Here is a 19,698-nt window from a genome sequence, read left to right as displayed (position 1 = left end):
GGCTTTACCAACTGCCCAATGACCGCTGCGGCGGGGCTGTTTCGTAAGCGGCTGGCCAATAGCGGAGAGAGGGGCGGGCCTCGGTGGGGGCCTGGCCCAGTGAGAGTCGCGCGGGGGACGATCCGATCTCTGTCCAGCTGCGACCCAATGGGAGTCCCCGCCAGGAGACACAACCGGCGGCTCTCCGGGGATTTATAAGGTCCCGCCAGCAACCGCGCGTTGGGATTCGTGGTGTTGCTGGAGACCCGTATGGTGTCTGCAGTCAGCGACCCTCCAACTTCAACTACTGGATCAACCATGGTGAAGGATGCTGTGCGGGGGAGGGTGTCGCACGATGGGGAGGATGCCGGGGGCGCACGGGGGGTCGGTGGGAAGGGCCCGCAGCGCAAAACGGAAGGGCGCCCCGGCAGTCCAGGGTGTGGGGTGGGCTGCGCGGGGATGCCAGGGGTGTTTGGGCGTTCAGGGCGAAGGTGGGCTCTGCAGAAAGCCCGGGGACGCCCGAGGAGTCCCGGCACCACTTTTCTACCCTGCTTCCCCTACGGGAGGCGGTGCGAGCTAGAAACGTTCTGAGCGCCCCAGAAGCGCTGAGGGACTAGGGAGGCTGGCGAGCGGTAAAGCGTGGGCGAGAACATGGTGGGGTCGTTTGTGCGCTGCGCTCAAGGTCGGGCAGCGGAGTCGGCTCTGCGGCAGAGCGCGCTCTGGAGCCTGGAGGGGATCTAGGGCCCGCCCCGTATTTCTCCCGCTGCGGTCCTGGACAAAGAGGTGCCCGCTTGTAGCTGCGGTCCCCGCCTCCCTCTGAGATCACATTGCCGCGCAGGAGGCAAGGTCCAGGATGATTGGGAAGCTCTAACAGGTTTCTCCAGTTCAAAACCTGTTCCCCTGAATGTCTTTGTCTTGGGCGCCCGACTCTGGCCAGAGGTAGAGGTCCTCGCCCTTTGGCCCCATACTTGACTAGGGATTCCTGTAAGCTCTTGGGGCCTTGAAAAGAATGTTCTTGACTCCACTTTTCTCCTGTTTGGTGCCCAAGGACTTGAGGTCCCTCTGTTAAAACTGAGAACTTGACTGGCCAGGCGCGGTGGCTCACGCCTATAATCCCAGCACTTTGGGAGGCCGAAGCGGGCGGACCACCTGAGGTCGGGAGTTCGAGACCAGCCTGACCAACATGGAGAAACCCGTCTCTACTAAAAATACAAAATTGGCCAGCCGTGGTGGCGCATGCCTGTAGTCCCAGCTACTCGGGAGGCTGAGGCAGGAGAATCGCTTGAACCTGGGAGGCTGGGGTTGCGTTGAGCGGAAATCCCGCCATTGCACTCTAGCCTGGGCAACAAGAGCGAAACTCGGTCTCAAAGAAATCAAAGCAAAAAAAAAAAAAAAAAAAAGCCTGAGAACTTGGGGTGGGTACACAGAGGTCCCTGTACCCCCCGGAAACCTCTTGATCCCTGCCTGTGCTCTGAGCCCCCTTAAAGGCTCTGAGGCTGTCTTAGAGGGTAGTTCCTAAGACTGTTAAACTGTTGCCTACTGTCACCCTAGAAGATCCCTTCTACATCTGGGAGGTGCTCGGCCCTTTTAAATTGACCCCCTAGACCGTGGGTTGGGTGAAGGACCAGAAGAAGGGAGGAAGGGTTTATCCATCATAGGAGTTACCTGAGTGAAAAGAGTCGAAAGGTAGGGTGGGTCTTCTGGTCTCCGCTGCGACGCTTAATTTAGGAGTACTGACTTGGATTAGCTTGCCTGTACTGCAGTTGGCAGGGACAGGTGTCTAGAGTAGGTGCCTGTCCCCCCAAAAGGGGAGTTTGTGGGTGAGCTTTCAGAAGGCTAGCTCTAACTCCAAGGCTGCTTCCTCAGTTGATCCACAGGTCTGAACTTAGTCTTCTGCCCTTTTGGGATGTGGGGGAGACAGTTGCTGCCCATGGGAGACCTCCTCTTCTAGGCCCCAGTGCTTGAATCTAGAAGCTCTTGGTGGGCCTGTCTTGGAATACAGGACTCTGAGCTTTCCCAAGGCACCCCAAACAGCAGGGAGGACACTGTGCAGTGGGATTTGGCTATTTGGTTTTGGCTTTCTCTAGTTCCTGCCCCAGAGACCTAGGCATAACCACCTTCTTAAGCTCTGAGTGAATGAAGGAAAATGAGGGCCTGAAGGTGGTTTGGCTTAAAGTATGGGAAGGCTTGGAAAGAGAACCGAGTCTTCTGGACTTTGGTTTTTTGGTTTGTTTTTTGAGATGGAGTCTTGCTCTCTCGCCTAGGCTGTAGTGCAGTGTTGTGATCTCGGCTCACTGCAACCTCTGCCTCCCGGGTTCAAGTGATTCTCCTGCCTCAGCCTCCTGAGTAGCTGGGACTACAGGCGCCCACCACCACATCCGGCTAATTTTGTATTTTTAGTAGAGGTGGGGTTTCACTGTGTTGGCCAGGATGATCTCGAACTCCTGACCTCAGGTGATCTGCCTGCCGTGGCCTCCCAGAGTGCTGGGATTATAGGTATGAGCCACTGCACCCGGCCAGTCGTCTGAACTTTGGACTAGGTAACACTAAGCTTCAGCCTTTAGGGAGGAAAGACAAGGGGTGCTCCCAGGGAAGGCTTTTCAAGTCCCCACCTTTTCACTCCACACCACTCATGCCCTGGCATATTCCTCTGCTCACCCTCACAGTGTGAGTGCATCTCCATCCATGTGGGCCAGGCCGGAGTGCAGATGGGCAATGCCTGCTGGGAGCTGTACTGCCTGGAGCACGACATCCAGCCCAGTGGCACCATGCCCAGCCACAAGGCCCTGGGGAGCAGTGATAACTCCTTCAACACCTTCTTCAGGGAGACCCAGCCTGGCAGGCATGTGTCCTGGGCTGTCTGTGGACCTGGAGCCTGCTGTCATAGGTGAGTGGACGGAGGAGTGGGGGCTCCTTCCCCCAGGCCATAGTTTTTGCTAGCGCCAATGTCAGATGGGAGCTCTGCTTAAGGGGAAAATACTTGAGATGGAAGCAGTCCCCTGCCATGAACAGCATTGAAGTCTGAAGTCTATTGCTTTTGTCTAGACTCTGTCCTCAGAAGAGGTCCTGGGGGCTTCCTATATTGAGAGGAAGATCATTCGCACAACTCTGCCAGGAAACTGCCAGATAGGAGTCAGGGATCAGGCCTAGAACGCAGACTGCAGAAAGGAGCAGATGTAAAAGCAGAAATTTAAAACTTGCTTTTCCCTGTCCTCAGACTCTTGAGGGTGGCCCATTGCGTAAGAAGCAGGGAGCCAAGAACATTCATACTGGCCTCCTGCTTAGCCTTAACTGAAATAGGCCCCCCCCACGTAGGATGTGGGCCTATGTGAACTTGGCTGTTGCTGGCTTCCGGAGGCTTTCCTGCTTCCTCCCTTCTGCATCTGGATCTCCTCTGTTTTCTAATCGTGACAATTCTACCCCTCCTCCATTTTTTAAAGCTGTTATTTTAGATGTTAAATGGTGCACTGGGTTTCTTCATTAGTCTGTATTCTTTTTTTTTTCTTTTCTTTTTCCATGGTGAAAATTTACATTAGTCTGTATTCTTACCCTATTCGAAAGTGAAGTGAGATTCTCCTTAACACCACTCTGATTCCTCACCTAGCACAATGAAGTCGCTGTAGAGGGAAGGGACCACTGAAGGTGCCACCTGCTCTCCCCGTCTCAAGCCCAGGCAGGACCTGGCCTTAGAAGTGGGTCTCTGGTCGGGAGGCTGAGGCAGGAGAATCGCTTGAACCCGGGAGACAGAGGCTGTGGTGAGCCAAGATCGCGTGATTGCACTCCAGCCTGGGCAACAAGAGTGAAACTCTGTCTCAAAAAAAAAAAAAGAAAGAAAAGAAAAAGAAGATGCCGTGCATCATCACTCTGTTGAGCAGTTGTACCTGGGGAGGCTTAGCAGCAAAGGTTCTGGTGTCTGGCGTTCCCTTGGGGAATGAACCAGCTTGTCTTACCTTTGTCCTTTCTTCCCCTCAAGATGGGGTAAGAACTGACATTTATAGGCAGCTGTTCCACCCTGAACAGCTGATATCTGGCGTGGAAGATGCTGCCAACAACTGTGCCCGTGGCCACTACACTGCGGGGAAGGAGATCATCGATTTGGTGCTGGAGTGAATCTGAAAACTGGTGAGCAGGCCTCTGGCACCTACAGGAGGTCGTTGCATCCTTAACCCTCTTCCTGGCTGGGAGGCAACCACAGCCTGTGCTGGTACCTGACATCATTCCTCCAGCCTGTCAGTCCACTCAGCTTCTCTTAAGGGGATATGTGTTTTCTGTCCTGGGTACGGATCTAGGGTTGGAAGCCTGAATAAACTGCTCTGCCTTGAGTTTGTGGACTCAAGCTTCTGCCCTGATGGTTCCTCGCTTTGCCAGGTCTGTCTGATCCAAGCCTTCTTTGACCTTTGATCCATCTCTACAGCAGCTCAGCTTGTTGTTCTTAGACTCCTATGCAGATCTGTCCAGGTGGGAGGGGCTCCTGTTTAGCACTCAACCATTTCACCAGTTCACCCTTCCCCTATCCGAGGCATTGAGAACCACCAGTGAGGCTGCCTGTGAGCCAGGACTTTGGCCCTGTTGCTGTAGGGGGATTGCCTAGACATACTCTCTGCTGCTCGGTAGAGACTGAGGACTTGGAAGTGACCTGAGGAGTAGGATTCTGTGCTCCCTTCCTCAAGAATGAAAATAAAATACCTCCTAGGGGTAGACTTCTTTTATACTGTCACTACCATGTGTCTGGTATAGACTGATGATTTTCTTACCCAAGAAACAGCTGTATCAGCATCACATGGGGTACTTTTTAAAGCTGCAGGTTCCTGGGTTCCAGTCTGAGGTGAGGCCTGGTAATCTGTATGTTCAACAGGATGCCACCACCACTCCCACTCTGCTGTAACTAGGGGGCAGGGCAACAAAACAGAGAGGGCCTGGCTCTCTGAGTGCAAATCATCCGTCCTTCCTCATCCCTACCATTGCGTATGCACAACACTGCCTTTCCAAGTCATCTTTTCCCTAGGAACTCCAAACCTCCTGTAGGTGATCTTTTTTTTTTTTTTCTTTTTTGAGAGAGTTGCTCTGTCGCCTAGGCTGGAATGCCACTAGTGGTGCAGTCACAGCTCACTGCAACCTCTACCTCCTGGGTTCAAGTGGTCCTCCCGCCTCAGCCTCCTGAGTAGCTGGGACTACAGGTGCACACCACAACACCCAGATACTTTTTGTATTTTTTTGTAGAGATGGGGTGTTGCCATCCCAGCACTTTGGTACGCCAAAGTGCTGGGATTACAGGTGTGAACCACCACACCTGGACAGGTGATCTTTTTTCACCTCTATGGAGGCGAAGCAAAAGGACACAAAGGAACTTTCTCGGGGTGATGGGAATTTCTGTATCTCTGTTGGTTTGGTTATATAGGTGTCTACGCATGTCAAATCATTCATTGTATGTCCAAAAGATGCACACACTTAAGTATAAACTATACTTCAAAGTCTTTCTAAAATACAGAAGTGAATGCAAGTATAGTTAGGTAATAGTAGCTTTCAACACAGAAGCTTCCTCAGGAGAAGAGGGTTGGGACGGGTGACATGCCATCTACATCCTTAATGATGTTATTGCCTGCTCCAGACAGACCAGTGCACCATGCTTCAGGGCTTCCTGATCTTCCATAGTTTTGGGGATGGCACTGGCTCAAGTTGGAATTTGCTATCTACCCAGTCCCCCAAGTGTCCATGACAGTTGTAGAACCCTATAACTCTATCTTGACCACCCACACCACCCTGGAGCACTCAGACTGCCTTCATGGTAGACGAGGCCATCTATGATCTCTGCTGCCACAACCTGCGCCCTACCTATACCAACCTGAACTGGCTCATCAGCCAGATTGTGTCCTCCATCACTGCTTCCTTGTGTTTTGATGGTGCCCTCAACGTGGACCTCACAGAGTTCCAGACCAATCTGGTGCCCTACCCTCGCATCCACTTTCCCCTGGTGACCTACTCACCCATTATCTCAGCTAAGAAGGCCTACCATGAGCAGCTCTCAGTGGCAGAGATCTCCAGTGTCTACTTTGAGCCCTCCAATCAGATGGCCAAGTGTGACCCTCGCCACGGCAAGTACATGGCCTGCTGCCTGCTCTACTGTGGAGAAGTGGTGCCCAAGGACGAGAATGCCACCATTGCCACCATTAAAACCAAGCAAATATTTGTTTTGCGGACGTGTCCCACAGGTTTCAAGGCAAGTGGGGGTAAAGGGCAGTTAGCACATGGCCTGTGTACCTGCTAAGACGGGAGCTTCCTGCAGAGGAGGTGTGAGGAACAAATGCACAGGATCTCACTGTCACCCAGGCTGGAGTACACTGGCGTCATCTTGGCTCACTGCAGCCTCGACCTCCTGCACTCAAGCAGTCCTCCTGTCTCAGCCTCCTCAGTAGCTGGGACCACAGGTTTGTGCCACCACACCCTGCTAACTTTGTATTTTTTTGGAGAGGTGGGGCTTCACCATATTGCCCAGGCTGGTCTCAGACTCCTGCGCATGGGTGATCCACCTACAATGGCCTCCCAAAGTGTTACAGGTGTGAGCCACTGTGCCCCGCTAGAGGATTCCTTTAACTGGATAGGTCTCAGCTGGTCTAGAAGCCAGGCCTTTGGACTGTAAGCCAGCGTGGGTTCTACTTGAAAGATTGCCTTGATGAAAGGAAAAGTATCAATTTCATCTTACTTAGCCTGGTAAAAAGGCGTTCCCTAGGGCTGCCAGTCACATGGGGAGAATGGCCTCCTTGTCACTTGTGCTAGGGACATAACCACGTGCTATAGGCTCCTGCTCAGAAGGGAAGGCTTTCAGAAGCCAGAGAGGCCCATTATCAGATGATGGGGAAAGTGCGGATCAGAAGGTCAGAGGCTTCTTGTGTTCTGCGTCTGGATGCGTTCTCTTCCTTTTGCGGTAATAAGGAAGAAGCACGCATTTATGCCCCACCCTGTTATCAGTTGACCTTCCCAGGGTGCTGGGCATATGACCTAGTTTGTTTTTTGGGTTTTGTTGTGGGATAAGACTCCAGAAAGATTAAAGATGGCAGCTGTGGCATTAGAAAACATATATAGCGGCTGGGCGCAGTGGCTCACTTTGGGAGGCCGAGGTGTCCGGATCACAAGGTCAGGAGATGATCGAGACCATCCTGGCTGACACGGTGAAACCCCGTCTCTACTAAAAATACAAAAAAAATTAGCTGGGCATGGCGGCATGCCCCTGTAGTCCCAGCTGTTGGGGAGGCTGAGGCAGGAGAATGGCGTGAACCCGGGAGGCGGAGCTTGCAGTGAGCCAACATCGCGCCACTGCACTCCAGCCTGGGCAACAGAGCAAGACTCCGTCTCAAAAAAATAAAAATAAAAAAAGAAAACATATATAGCTTTCCTGCCCCATGACACTGCTGTGGACATGACCACAACAGGAGGACAGGCAGGAATAATAGCTGCTTGCTAGTGTGGAAGAGTTGTCCTGTAGCTCAGAAATGGAAATGAGGGGTAGGCTATCTGGGAAACAGACTGTTTCTGCCTCCATATTAGGAAGATCTTTAGCTGCTTAAGGGAAGAATAGGCTGCCTTTAGGACATGGTCAGCTTGTTGTCCCTAGAGACACTAATGGGAAGTTGACTTTTTTTTTTTTTTTTTTTTTTTGAGGATGAGAAACACTAAAATGTATTATATATTCTGGGCTGGGTGCAGTGATTCAGGCCTGTAATCCAGCACTTTGGGAGGCAGAGGTGGGAGGATGGCTTGAGCCCAGGAGTTTGAGACCAGCCTGGGCAATGTGAGACTCCATCTGTACAAAATATTTTAAAAAATTAGCCAGTCTTGCTAGTGTGTACTTATAGTTCTAGCTACTCAGAAGGCTGAGGTGGGAGGATCACCTGGGTCCAGGAGGTTTAGGCTGCAGTGAGCTATGATTGCACCCCCCTCTCCAGCCTCAGCAACAGAGCGAGACCCTGTTTTTTGTTTTGTTTTGTTGTTGTTGTTGTTTTGAGACGGAGCTTCACTCTGTCACCCAGGCTGGAGTGCAGTGGCGTGATCTCAGCTCACTGCAACCTCCGCCTCCTGGGTTTAAGCAATTCTCCTGCCCCAGCCTCCCGAGTAGCTGGGACTATAGGCGCCCGCCACCACACCCGGCTATTTTTTGTATTTTTAGTAGAGACAGGGTTTCACCATGTTGGCTAGGCTGGTCTCAAACTCATGACCTCAGGTGATCCACCCGCCTCGGCCTCCCAAAGTGCTGGGATTACAGGCGTGAGCCACCGCATCCGGCCCCCTTTTTCTTGACTGACTTTGAAGGCACTAGTCTTGTCTTGCAGAAGCTCCCTCATTCTAGACTTGTTTGTTTCCTTGTGGTGGTGATCATCTTCCTCTTTGTTTCTTACAAGTTGACAAATGCCCCTTCCCTAGTTCCAGGGATCCCTGTACAGACCCTTCCAGGAAACACAGAACCAGGCGCTTATACTTCTTTGTTTTTTCTTAGGTTGGCATCAACTACCAGTCCCCCACAGTGGTGCCCGGGGGTGCTGTAGCCAAGGTGCAGCGGGCAGTCTGCGTGCTAAACAATACCACAGCCATCACTGAGGCCTGGGCCCGCCTCAACCAAAAGTTTGACCTGATGTATGCCAAGCGGGCATTTATGCACTGTTATGTGGACAGGGGCATGGAGGAAGGTGAGCTCTCTGGGCCTGAGAGGACCTGGCTGCCCTGGAGAAGGATTATGAAGTAGGCACAGAATCTTTGGACAGCGAGGATGAGCATGAGGAGTTCTAGGGGTCCTGGCACCTGTAACACCTGGTCTCTCGCACCACAGTTGTGTGTGTATCTCATTCCACTGTTCCCTGACCCCCTACAAATACAATGGATATTGCAAGCGATGTGGAACTCTGTGGAATTCTGCCCAGGCAGTGGGCCATCTTTAAGCTTCTCAGCTTCCTTTAATGTCTTTCTAAGTTGAAGGGCAGGGTGGCCTCTGCTGCTAGGGCCTCCAGCCAGGGCATGTCTAGTGGAGGATTGGCACTGCTTCCCTCCTGTGTGAGCGGACCACCCTGACACGCCTTCGCCGGTTCAGCACCCAGGCTGTGGTACTTCAACTTCACAGGGGTCCCTATGTGTACCCCCTTGTCTCCAGCCCAGTTCGAGGAAGAGTAAGCTTTCTAGAGATTCTAATGAAAGCTGCCGAAAGTTTATCTGCCCCCAGCATTCCGGGGCAGAAACTGCAGGACTTCAGTGCCACAAGGAATCAAGCACGTCTAACCACTCCTCCCGCCTGATGGCCAAGAGAGGGCAGTAGAGGTTGCCTTCACAGGCCTCTCCGCAGCAGCCATCTTAGACTTGAGGGCTCTGTCCTGATGCCTTACAAACGCAGGGTCCAAGAAATAGGATTCCAAAAAAAACAGTGGTCTCCAGCCTGGGACTATGAAGATACGAAACAACTTACTTTAAGGGACAGGGTCTCGCTGTGTTGCATGCGCTGGAATGTAGTGGTTATTCTCACAGATGTGGTCACAGCATGCTACAGCCTTGGACTCCTGGGCTCAAGCCATCCTCCTGCCTCAGCCTCCCCATGTGGTGGCCTACAGGCACTACCTCATGCCTGGCTATGAAGTAAATCTTAAAAGTGCCTATGAGACTTTTAGGCAAGAAGATCCGTATCTCTTATTCTCAACGGAGTTCCTAATGAGGAAATTAGGAACTGTTGTTTTAGAGGCTTAGGCATATCTGCTCACATGTGGTGTCAGAGATCAATTTATTAGTAAAAGGTTCTGGCAGAAGCTAATGACTAAACAAATGGCCCCTTCTGGAACAGTCCAGGTTCAAGGAGGCTGCTTTTATTATTATTTTATTATTATTTATTTTTTTGGAGACGGAGTCTCACTCTGTCGCCCAGGCTGGAGTGCAGTGGCACGATCTCAGCTCACTGCAACCTCCGCCTTCTGGGTTCAAGCGATTCTCCTACCTCAGCCTCCTGAGTAGCTGGGACTATGGGTGCACACTGCCACTCCTGGCTAATTTTTTGTATTTTAGTGGAGACAGGGTTTCACCATGTTGCCCAGGCTGGTCTCGAACTCCTGAGGTCAGGCAATCTGCCCTCCTCACCCTCCCAAAGTGCTAGGATTACAGGCGTGAGCCACTGTGCCCAGCTATTTTTTTTTTTTTTTTTTTTTGTGAGACAGAGTCTCACTCTCTCTCCCGGGCTGGCATGCAGTGGCGTGATCTCAGCTCACTGCAACCTCTGCCTTCCAGGTTCAAGCAATTCTTCTGCCTCAGCCTCCTGAATAGCTGGGATTACAGGCATGCGCCACCATCCCTGGCTAATTTTTGTATTTGTAGTAGAGATGAGGTTTCACTATGTTGGCCAGGCTGGTCTCACACCCCTGATCTCAGGTGATCCGCCCACCTCAGCCTCCCAAAGTGCAAGGATCACAGGCATGAACCACCTCGCCTGGCCAGGCTGCTTTTAAATAATGTGCTTAAAGTCCCCTCAGCCAGGAGAGGTTGCAAGCTTATGTATTCTTAAACCACAGAGAATCTCCATGGAGCCAGGCTTTGTTCCTGGCAAGGCCACTGAGCAGAACCTAACCCAGCCCCTGCCAGAAAGGCGAGGGCCACCCATACTCTTGGCCTGGAACTACCTACTCTGGTTTTTGGACACTTAATTCTAGCACGTGTTTGCTCTCTTAAGCACCAGTGAGCCTTGGGGCTGCCTAAATGTCATCTGTGGCCTTGCTTTGGCTTCAGGAAACTGGTTACTAGCGTTAATCTAGAGACTTATTCCCAGCATCTGTGAGCCTTGCTCCTTGATCCCTGGGAGGGTATTTGCCAAAAGGAGGGAATCCCAGAGCCTACAGCATAGTGCCCAGGGTCACAGACTGCCCCTACCATGGAACTGCATGCTTAGGTCCAGAGGGGCTGTGGCCTTGTGTGCTGGTTGGTCCCCACATGTTGGGCCTCTTCCTTTTTTTAGCATCTTCCTCTGTATTTGCATTTCTGAGCAGAGAGGTCTGACAGTCTTCTGCTTGGCTGTATTCCCCCTTTCCCTCAGTCCCCATAGTCCCCAAAAGACAAGGGCCTCAACCTACTGTGTCATTTGTCTTAATTCGCTAATAGCGTGGCTCTGACATGGGTGTGTATCCTTACTTGTGCCCCCTTTCTTTCGTGTAAGCAAGACAAGTCTCCCTTGCTATAGCGGTTGATTTTTTCTATTTTACTCCAGAGTCTTTCTCCAAAGCTGTTCCTAGGAGACTGCTAACCTACTGGTTCCTCTAGTACTGGGTAGAGGTGGAATAAGGGCACAGAAGGAAGGGAAAGAGGTTGGAGAAACCTGCTCTATTAAAGTGTCTGTTGCCGGGCCTGGTGGCTCACACCTGTAATCCCAGCACTTTGGGAGGCCGAGGCGGGTGGATCACCTGAGGTCAGGAGTTCGAGACCAGCCTGGCCAACATGGTGAAACCTTGTCTCTACTAAAAATACGAAACATTAGCCGGGCGTGGTGGCGCATGCCTGTAATCTCAGCTACTCAGGAGGCTGAGGCAGGAGAATCGCTTGAACCCAGGAGGCGGAGGTTGCAGTGAGCCGAGATTGCACCATTGCACTCCAGCTTGGGCAACAAGAGCAAAACTCTGTCTCCAAAAAATAAATAAATTAATTAATTAATTAATTAATTAAAGTGCCTATTAACGGATCTGGATCTGTTGATGTTTGGCAGGTGCCCCTGGTCTGCTCTGCCGGTATCTTCACCCGGAAACCAGTGAGCTGATGTTTTCTTTCCTTCTCTTCCTCTCACTGGGCCCATGGATTCATACATATTAGCAGTTCAATCCATCATGCAGAGAGACCACCCCTCCCTGAGCACATACCCCAGGCCACAGGAAGGTGAACATCCAGTGAGGGTTGGACTCCTAGCCCTGAGCACTCTCCTGTGATGAGATACCAGATAGAATGAGTCAGTTAAAGCTGGGGGTAGCAAGCTCGATGATTTATTTGGATAACCTAGCAGCTGCCATACCTCTTCTCCTGGCACCCAGGTAGAATGGAAGGTAAGTCATGTTCTCATCTATGACCCATCCCTCTTTTTGTACTTTTGAAATAAACAGGAAGGGTTTTTGTTCAGTCTTTGCCTGACCTTAACTCCCACCTCCCCACCTCCAAGCCCCAGATAGGGCCCAGTCCCTTGGGAGAGCCTTTCCTGGGTTCCTTTCAAACTATGGAACCTCTGATAGGGTGAGGATGGAGAAGAGAAATTCTTGCCTTGGGGTTGTGACCTGAAACTGAGAGACTCTTGGAGTCTTAACAAGCACAGTTGACCCTTGAACAACACAGGGGTTGGGGTGCTGACCCTGTGCAGTCAGAAATCCACGTATAACTTTTGTCTGCCCCAAAACTTAACTAATAACCTACCATTCACTGGAAGCCTTACCAATAATATAAACAACCAATTAACACATTAGTAATGTATTATATATCACATTCTTATAAGAAAGTAAGCTAGAGAAAAATCATAAGGAAGAGAAAGTGTATTTACTGTTCGTTAAGTGGAAATGGATCATTATAAAGGTCTTCATCCTCATCTTTACCTTGAGGAGGAAGAGGAGGAGTTGTTGCTATCTCAGGGGTGGCAGAGGCAAAAGAGGGTTGAAGAGGTGAAAGGGAAGGCAGGCACACTCAATGCAATTTTTATTGAAAAAGCCACTTCTAAGTGGACCTATGCCTCTCAAACCCATATTGTGCAATGGTCAGCTCTATTCTACTTGAAGCATGAGCATGGGTAAGCATTGCCTTTCCTGGGCCGGCTTTCTCACGGATGTTGTTACTGGAGGATGCGTCAGATAGACTCTAGTCCCAGTCTTGGTCATAACAAGATCTAAACCTAGATGACTTCCTGCAGGTCCCATTGGCTTCCATTTATAACTGCCCGAAGACCCAGGTCCCCATGCTCAGCTGGCTCCATGGAGTCCTTGGAGGAGAGGGTGGTTACTTTGGTGATGCAGAACTGAAAACTAAGGGGAAGTGGCCTAAGAGAAGACAGGGCACCTCCAAAGTACCCGGTCCCTATTAGAAATCCAACAGTTTCTGACCCCCAAGAACGCATAGATGGGACAGGAGACCTTGACTGTTTCTTTTTCTCTGTAGTGCAGACTCTCAGTAAGTTCTGCCCGGCTTTCAGTCTGGTTCCTCGCCTACAGTCTGCGCTGTACCTGAGGCCAGAGTTTTAGATTTGACTGTCCCAGGGTGTAAACTTGTTTTCTGTTGGATGTATTCTGCTTGTGTAAAGTGAAAGACAGAGTCTTGGGCCCTAACTTTTCCCTCATGAAGACTTGTGCTATTCTCAGCTCTACCCTGTATCCCCACCTTCAGAACTGAGATTCTGTGATGTGACTCATCTTGCTGCTTCTAGGCGTTCAGTGTCCTGCACTAGTACACCCACCTGCAGTGAGGAAGCTGCTCTTTTTCTGTCTTCCCTCTGCTTAAAGCTCAGTAGAGTGGGTGAGACATATGCACAGTGTCTGGAGGCCACAGGAAGCCTCAGGCAAGACGAGGGGAGCTTTCCAGGAGGACTGGCACTTGCACCAGATGCTGACAATGAGTTGGGGTACAGGGCAGGGTTCAAGACAGAGACTGTTACAGGAAAAAATATGGAAAACGCAAGCACGTTATGTTTGGGTGATCTCGACTAGCTTGTAGCTGGACTTTGGAACAGGGGAAGGAACTAGAGAAAAAGGTACAGGGGTGAATGACCTTGGTTTGGGTTTCTTTTTCAAATATTTATTGAGCACCTACTATGAGCCATGGATTATTCTAGATGTTAGGGGGCCGTTGTGGGGAGCAAAGAAATTTGAACTTTCTCCTGTATAAAATGTTTAGTGGTATTCAGGTGCCTGCATTCAGAGATAACCCATCCTTAAAGCAGTGGTTCTCAACCTGGGACACTTTTGCCCTCCAGCGGACATTTGGCAATGTTTAGAGACGTTTTTGACTGTTGCAACTGCGGGTAGGGGTGATCTGGCATGTCGCATATAGAGACCAGGGATGTGGCTCAGTCCTACAAAGCACAGAACAGACATGCCCACACCACAAAGAATTATCCTGCCAGAAATGTCAATACTGCTGAGATTAAGAAATCTTAGGCCGGGCGCGGTGACTCATGCCTGTAATCCCAGCACTTTGGGAGGCCGAGGTGGGCAGATCACCTGAGGTCGGGAGTTCGAGACTGGCCTGACCAACATGGAGAAACCTCGTCTCTACTAAAAATATAAAAAAATTAGCTGGCCATGGCTGGGCACAGTGGCTCATGCCTATAATTCCAGCACTTTGGGAGGCCAAGGCAGGTGGATCACGAGGTCAGGAGATCGAGACCATCCTGGCTAACATGGTGAAACCCCGTCTCTACTAAAAATACAAAAAATTAGCCGGGCGTGGTGGCGGGTGCCTGTAGTTCCAGCTACTGGGGAGGCTGAGGCAGGAGAATGGCATGAACCCGGGAGGCGGAGCTTGCAGTCAGCCGAGATGGCGCCACTGCACTCCAGCCTGGGCGAGACAGCGAGACTCTGTCTCAAAAAAAAAAAAAAAAAAAAAAATTAGCTGGCCCTGTTGGGACATGCCTGTAATCCCAGCTACTCAGGAGGCTGAGGCAGGAGAATCACTTGAACCCAGGAGGTGGAGGTTACAGTGAGCTGAGATCGCGCCATTGCACTCCAGCCTGGGGAACAAGAGCGAAACTCCGTGTCAAAAAAAAAAAAAAGGAAATCTTGCCTTAAAGGATTGCTTGACAGTTGCAAGAAGGATAGATTTCTGGGCACAGTACCGTAGAGGGATAGTGGCTGTTGTAGTTATCAAGGTGAAAAACCAATGCTTGGACCAGAGCAGTGAGATGGGGGAGGGAAGAGTAAAAGGGTTGGGTCACAGCGCTTAGTGACCAGTTGACATGGCACACAGGGAGAAGGGTCATGGGTGACTTGCTGCTTGGACAGCATGAGATGTTCTCCCTCCCATGTTTCCCATTTAGGCTTGGAGAAGAATTCAGTTTTAGATGTTGTATTAGTCTGCTGGGGTTGCCATAACAAAGCACCACAGATGAGGTGTCTTAAACAACAGAAATGTGCCTCACATTTGGGAGGCTAGAAGTCCAAGGTCAAGATGTGTTGGCAGGTTAGTTTCTTCTGAGGCCTCTCTCCTTGGCTTGCAGATGGCCATCTCTGGCCTCTGTCCTTATTGCCTCCTCTTATAAGGCCATCTGTCCTATTGGATTAGAATCTACCCTTATGACCTCATTTTACTTTTTTTTTTTTTTTTTTCTTTTTTGAGACTGAGGCTTGCTCTGTTGCCCAGGCTGGAGTGCAATGGCACGATCTCAGCTTACTGCTGCCTCAGGCTCCCAGGTTCAAGCTATTCTCCTGCCTCAGCCTCCCGAGTAGCTGGGATTTTAGGCGCCTGCCACCATGCCCAGCTAATTTTTGTATTTTTAGTAAAGACAGGGTTTCGCCATGTTGGCCAGGCTGGTCTTGAACTCCTGACCTCAGGTGATCCACCTGCCTCGGCCTCCCAAAGTGCTGGGATTACGAGCCTGAGCCACTGCACCCAGCCAAAATAAGGTCTTCTAAAACAAGATCTTCCAAACACACTGAAGGCCTTTTCATTTCCCTGAAAAGACAATGTACCAATAAGTAGTAAGATAAAGCAGGTGAAGGCTAGCCCCCAGTTCCATCAGGAGCATGCACTTTCCCACCTGCTTCCGAGCCCTGTTGGGGCCGAGAGTCCCCAGCACACGCAGCATGAAACCTACTTGCCCTCTGAGTCTAAGCTTGGAAGAGGGCAAAGTTAGGAAGGGGAAGCTCTAAATAAATCACAATATAACATGACAAATATGTGTAGAAATGTGACTAAAGTCCAGAAGCAGGGCAAACCTGCGGTAAATGGCAGTGGATTTTGGAGGCTGAGTCAGTTGGCCAGACAGACCAGGAAGGAACAAGGCGGGGGGAACAGCATACTATCTCAGAACTGTAACAGGCTCCCTAATGCTGGGGCTTAAGGTGAAAGGCAGAGTGGTGGAAAAGAGATGAAAACTCAACACGGGTAGGCTGTGTGTCCATGGAACAGGAATCTTCTGACCAAAGTGAAAGGTTTGTGCCAAAGAGTGAGAGGGACTCCCCCAGCGCGTAAACCTTTGAGGGCAGGGTGTGTGTTCATCACATGCCGCGCAGTCCTGGTCCCCCATCCCATGCATACTTGGGTACTGAGCTAGGTTGAACCCAGTGGGAGGCAGGAAGATAGGAATTGGAGCCCCAGCTTATGGTGGGAGAAAGACGGTGACCACTTAAAGCCTTAGATGTCTGGGATTAGAATCCAAGGGATGGTAATAAATGTAGATGATTCTCATATCCCTGGCACCTTCACAGTGAAGCTGGCTCATTAGCCAGGGAGAGAGGGAACAAAGTTAGAAACCAAATCCTAGTGAAAGTTCAGGGTGTCGAGCTGGGACTGTCTCTGCGTACTTCCTGGGGCACTCTGGGCAGCCTGAGGAGCAGGCTGGGGGGCTGTTGATGCTGGCTTCACCGGGGACTTGAACACCTGCTCAAAAGAAATGTGGCAGGACTCAGCTAAGGAGGCTGTATGGAATTCCCTTGCGGACAGGAGGAATGCGGAAGCTGACAGCACGTGCTTCCTTTCCCCACCCCTCCCCAGTCCTCAGTCTTCAGGAAGAAAGACAGTGTGGTATATCAGCCCTGGGAAAAGAGATGACCCTCTCTCTCACTTGAGGGAGGGGTAGAGACCTTGTCAAGTAATTCTTCTGGATGCTGTCTTTGTCTATAAATTCAGGGACTTGGACTAAACCTCCAGTTAAGAACACCCTCGGCCAGGCATGGTGGCTCATGCCTGTAATCCCAGCACTTTGGGAGGCCGAGGTGGGCAGATCACCTGAGGTCGGGAGTTCGAGACCAGCCTGACCAACATGGAGGAACCCCATCTCTACTGAAAATACAAAATTAGGCGTGGTGGTGGCGCATGCCTGAAATCCCAGCTACTCAGGAGCCTGAGGCAGGAGAATTGCTTGAACCTGGGAGGCAGAGGTTGTGGGGAGCCGAGATCACGCCATTGCACTCAAGCCTGGGCAACAAGAATGAAACTCTGTCTCAAAAAAAAGAACAACCTCCACCCCCACCCCGACCACCACATGTCTCTATGTGGAACCCAGCAACTGGGAAGAAATGGAAAAAAGATAAGGGTGTCTTAGGTGTAGGCATCCCTCCCACACCCTATCCTGTCTTGCTGATCTGGAGTCTGATTTTTTTTATCCCTCATCAAGTCTGGGCAGGTTCTTAAAGGGTTGTGAGTGCCTATTCTGGGAGGAGCTGCATCCAGGCTGTCAGAAAAGTAGTGGACAGGCCCATGGAGGATTTTCTGTGGCAGTGCCTCGCGCGTGTGGTCATCTTGTTCCAGAGCATCACACTACAAAATAGTCGCCACCCCTGAGGGCTGGGCCCCTTGGAGTGGATTTTACTAGCCCCAGCACAAGCCATGTCTAATTGCTGAGATTAAGGCTCTGTAGAGGTGTGATGAGACAGTGCTCTGGCGTTAGAAAGGACAGAGCAGGCCGGGCACGGTGGCTCACACCTGTAATCCCAGCACTTTGGGAGGCCGAGGCGGACAGATCACCTGAGGAGTTCGATACCAGCCTGGTCCAACATGGTGAAACCCCATCTCTACTAAAAATACAAAAATTAGCTGACATGGTGGCAGGCACCTGTAATCCCAGCTACCTGGGAGGCTGAGGCAGGAGAATCGCTTGAACCCAGGAGATGGAGGTTGCAGTGAGCCGAGATCGTGCCACTGCACTCCAGCCTGGGTGACAGAGCAAGACTGTGTCTCAAAAAAAAAGAAAGAAAGAAAAAGAGCAGCACAGGTGATGAAGAACACAGACTGTGAAGCCAGAATACCTGGATTTGAATCCCAGCTTTGCCACCTCATAACTCTGTGGCCTTGGTCGTGTTACTGGCCTGTTTCCTGATCTATAAAATGAGACTAGAACAGTAGTACCTCCCTCAGGGTCATCTTGAGGATTAAATAGACAGTGCTTAGAATAGTACCTGGGACACAGTAAGTGGTCATCAGTGTTCGCTGTTATCAATATGATTGGGACCATAACCCGTCATGGGGGAGGAAAAGGGGCTTTATGTATTTAAGCACTTTCTCTTCCATCTCTATTCTCCATATAATAATCCTCTGTTCCTATTCTAAGTAATCACTTCTTTGTGCTTCTCTGTAGCTCTTCATTTCCCCAAAATTAAGCTCTTTTGAAGACGCTCATTCTCAATGGTTAATTATTCCAATTTTCCCCTAGCCAAGGCCTCTCGCTACTTGTATTCCTCCTCTTACCCCCCGAGGTTCCAGTGTCCTGGAGCCCACACAATTGGCTCTGTGCGCCCGAGCTCTGGCTGTAAGCCCACCCGCACAAAGCGCCCCTCAGTACCTCTCTGCTCCCTCCCCTGCTCACGCCAGGGGCCCAGCTTCTCACCCGCGCTCTCAGAAGCTTTTAGGTAGGTCAGAGGGTGCCATTCATTAAATACAAGCACAACTTTGTCCTCATTCCCAGCCACTCTGCTAGCAGTGAGACCCAAATATTTTATCTGAGTGATAGGCAGGCATTGGCCTCTGACAGAAGGGCTTCCAACAGAAGGAATCGAGCATAAATTACGAAGGCCCTGTGCTGTGTGAGGCGTGTCGCAGTTATGTCTTGCTATGTAACAGACTACCCCAAAACTTAGTGGCTTCAAACAACCGCCATTGATTCACTCACATTTCTGTAGTTTGTGGGAGGGCTTGGTGGCAGTGCACCCTCTCTGTGGAGTTGACTGGGGCCACTCAAGAACTCAATATGGCCACACTCGCACATCTTACGTCTCAGCCGGCACGGCCGGGGGCCTTCCTTGCTTTCTCCTTAGCCCTTATCCTGCAGGGCTTTTTTCTCCAGCAGTGTAGCTGGACTTCTTTACATGGCAGTTGGCTTCCAGAGAGAAAAAACAAGCTGTGAGGCCTCTTAAGACCTCGGCCTTGGCCAGAAGCAGTGGCTCACGACTGTAATCTTAGCACTTTTGGAGGCTGAGGCACGTGGATTGCTTGAGCTCAGGAGTTTGAGACCAGCCTGGCCAACATGGCGAAACACTGTCTCTACAAAACATTAGCCAGGTGTAGTGGTGCATGCCTGTAATCCCAGCTACTTGGGAGGCTGAGGTGGGAGGATCGCTTGAGCCCAGGAGGCAGAGGTTGCAGTGAGCTGAGATCATGCCACTGCAGTCCAGCCCGGGTGACAAAATGAGACCCTGTCTCAAGAAAAAGACTTAGGCCTTAAGGCCCACATTCAATGGGAGACACAATGTTGTGTCTTCCCAACACTGAATTTTGAACTCCTAACCCCCAGTATCTCAGAATGTGACCTTAATTGGAAATAAAGTAATTGTAGATTTGATTAATGAAGATGAGGTCTTACTGGAGTAGGGTGGGCCCCTCATCCAATATGACTGGGGTCCTTTATAATGGAGAAATTTCAACATATACACACACAGGCAGGCAGGAGGCTGTGTGAAGATTGGCATTATGCTGCCACAGCTAGCAGGTGCTAGGAAAGAAGCCCGGAACAGATCCTTCCCTAGTGCCTTTAGAGGAAACACAGCCCTGCCCACACCTTGATCTCAGACTTCTGGCCTCCAGAACCATGAG

The 19,698-nt window shown here is 50.8% G+C and overlaps 1 pseudogene, besides 2 other annotated features; it reads left to right on the top strand.

The window, feature by feature from the left end:
* Positions 51-100: a silencer, noted in NCBI's record as "silent region_1708". NCBI's record gives its function as "represses an Ori minimal core promoter by ATAC-STARR-seq in GM12878 lymphoblastoid cells {active_cell/tissue: GM12878}" and the evidence as "EXISTENCE:reporter gene assay evidence [ECO:0000049][PMID:35858748]".
* Positions 5,589-6,205, top strand: TUBA5P (tubulin alpha 5, pseudogene; annotated as a pseudogene).
* Positions 8,222-8,721: an enhancer, noted in NCBI's record as "H3K27ac hESC enhancer chr1:202822155-202822654 (GRCh37/hg19 assembly coordinates)". NCBI's record gives its function as "activates a minimal SCP1, AML or CMV promoter by ChIP-STARR-seq in naive H9 embryonic stem cells {active_cell/tissue: H9 hESC(naive)}" and the evidence as "EXISTENCE:reporter gene assay evidence [ECO:0000049][PMID:30033119]".

The sequence above is a fragment of the Homo sapiens genome, chromosome 1 (assembly GCF_000001405.40).
Source record: "Homo sapiens chromosome 1, GRCh38.p14 Primary Assembly".
NCBI lineage: Eukaryota > Metazoa > Chordata > Mammalia > Primates > Hominidae > Homo > Homo sapiens.
The sequence above is the reverse complement of the archived record's forward strand: the minus strand, read 5'-3'. Positions and strand labels throughout refer to the sequence as shown.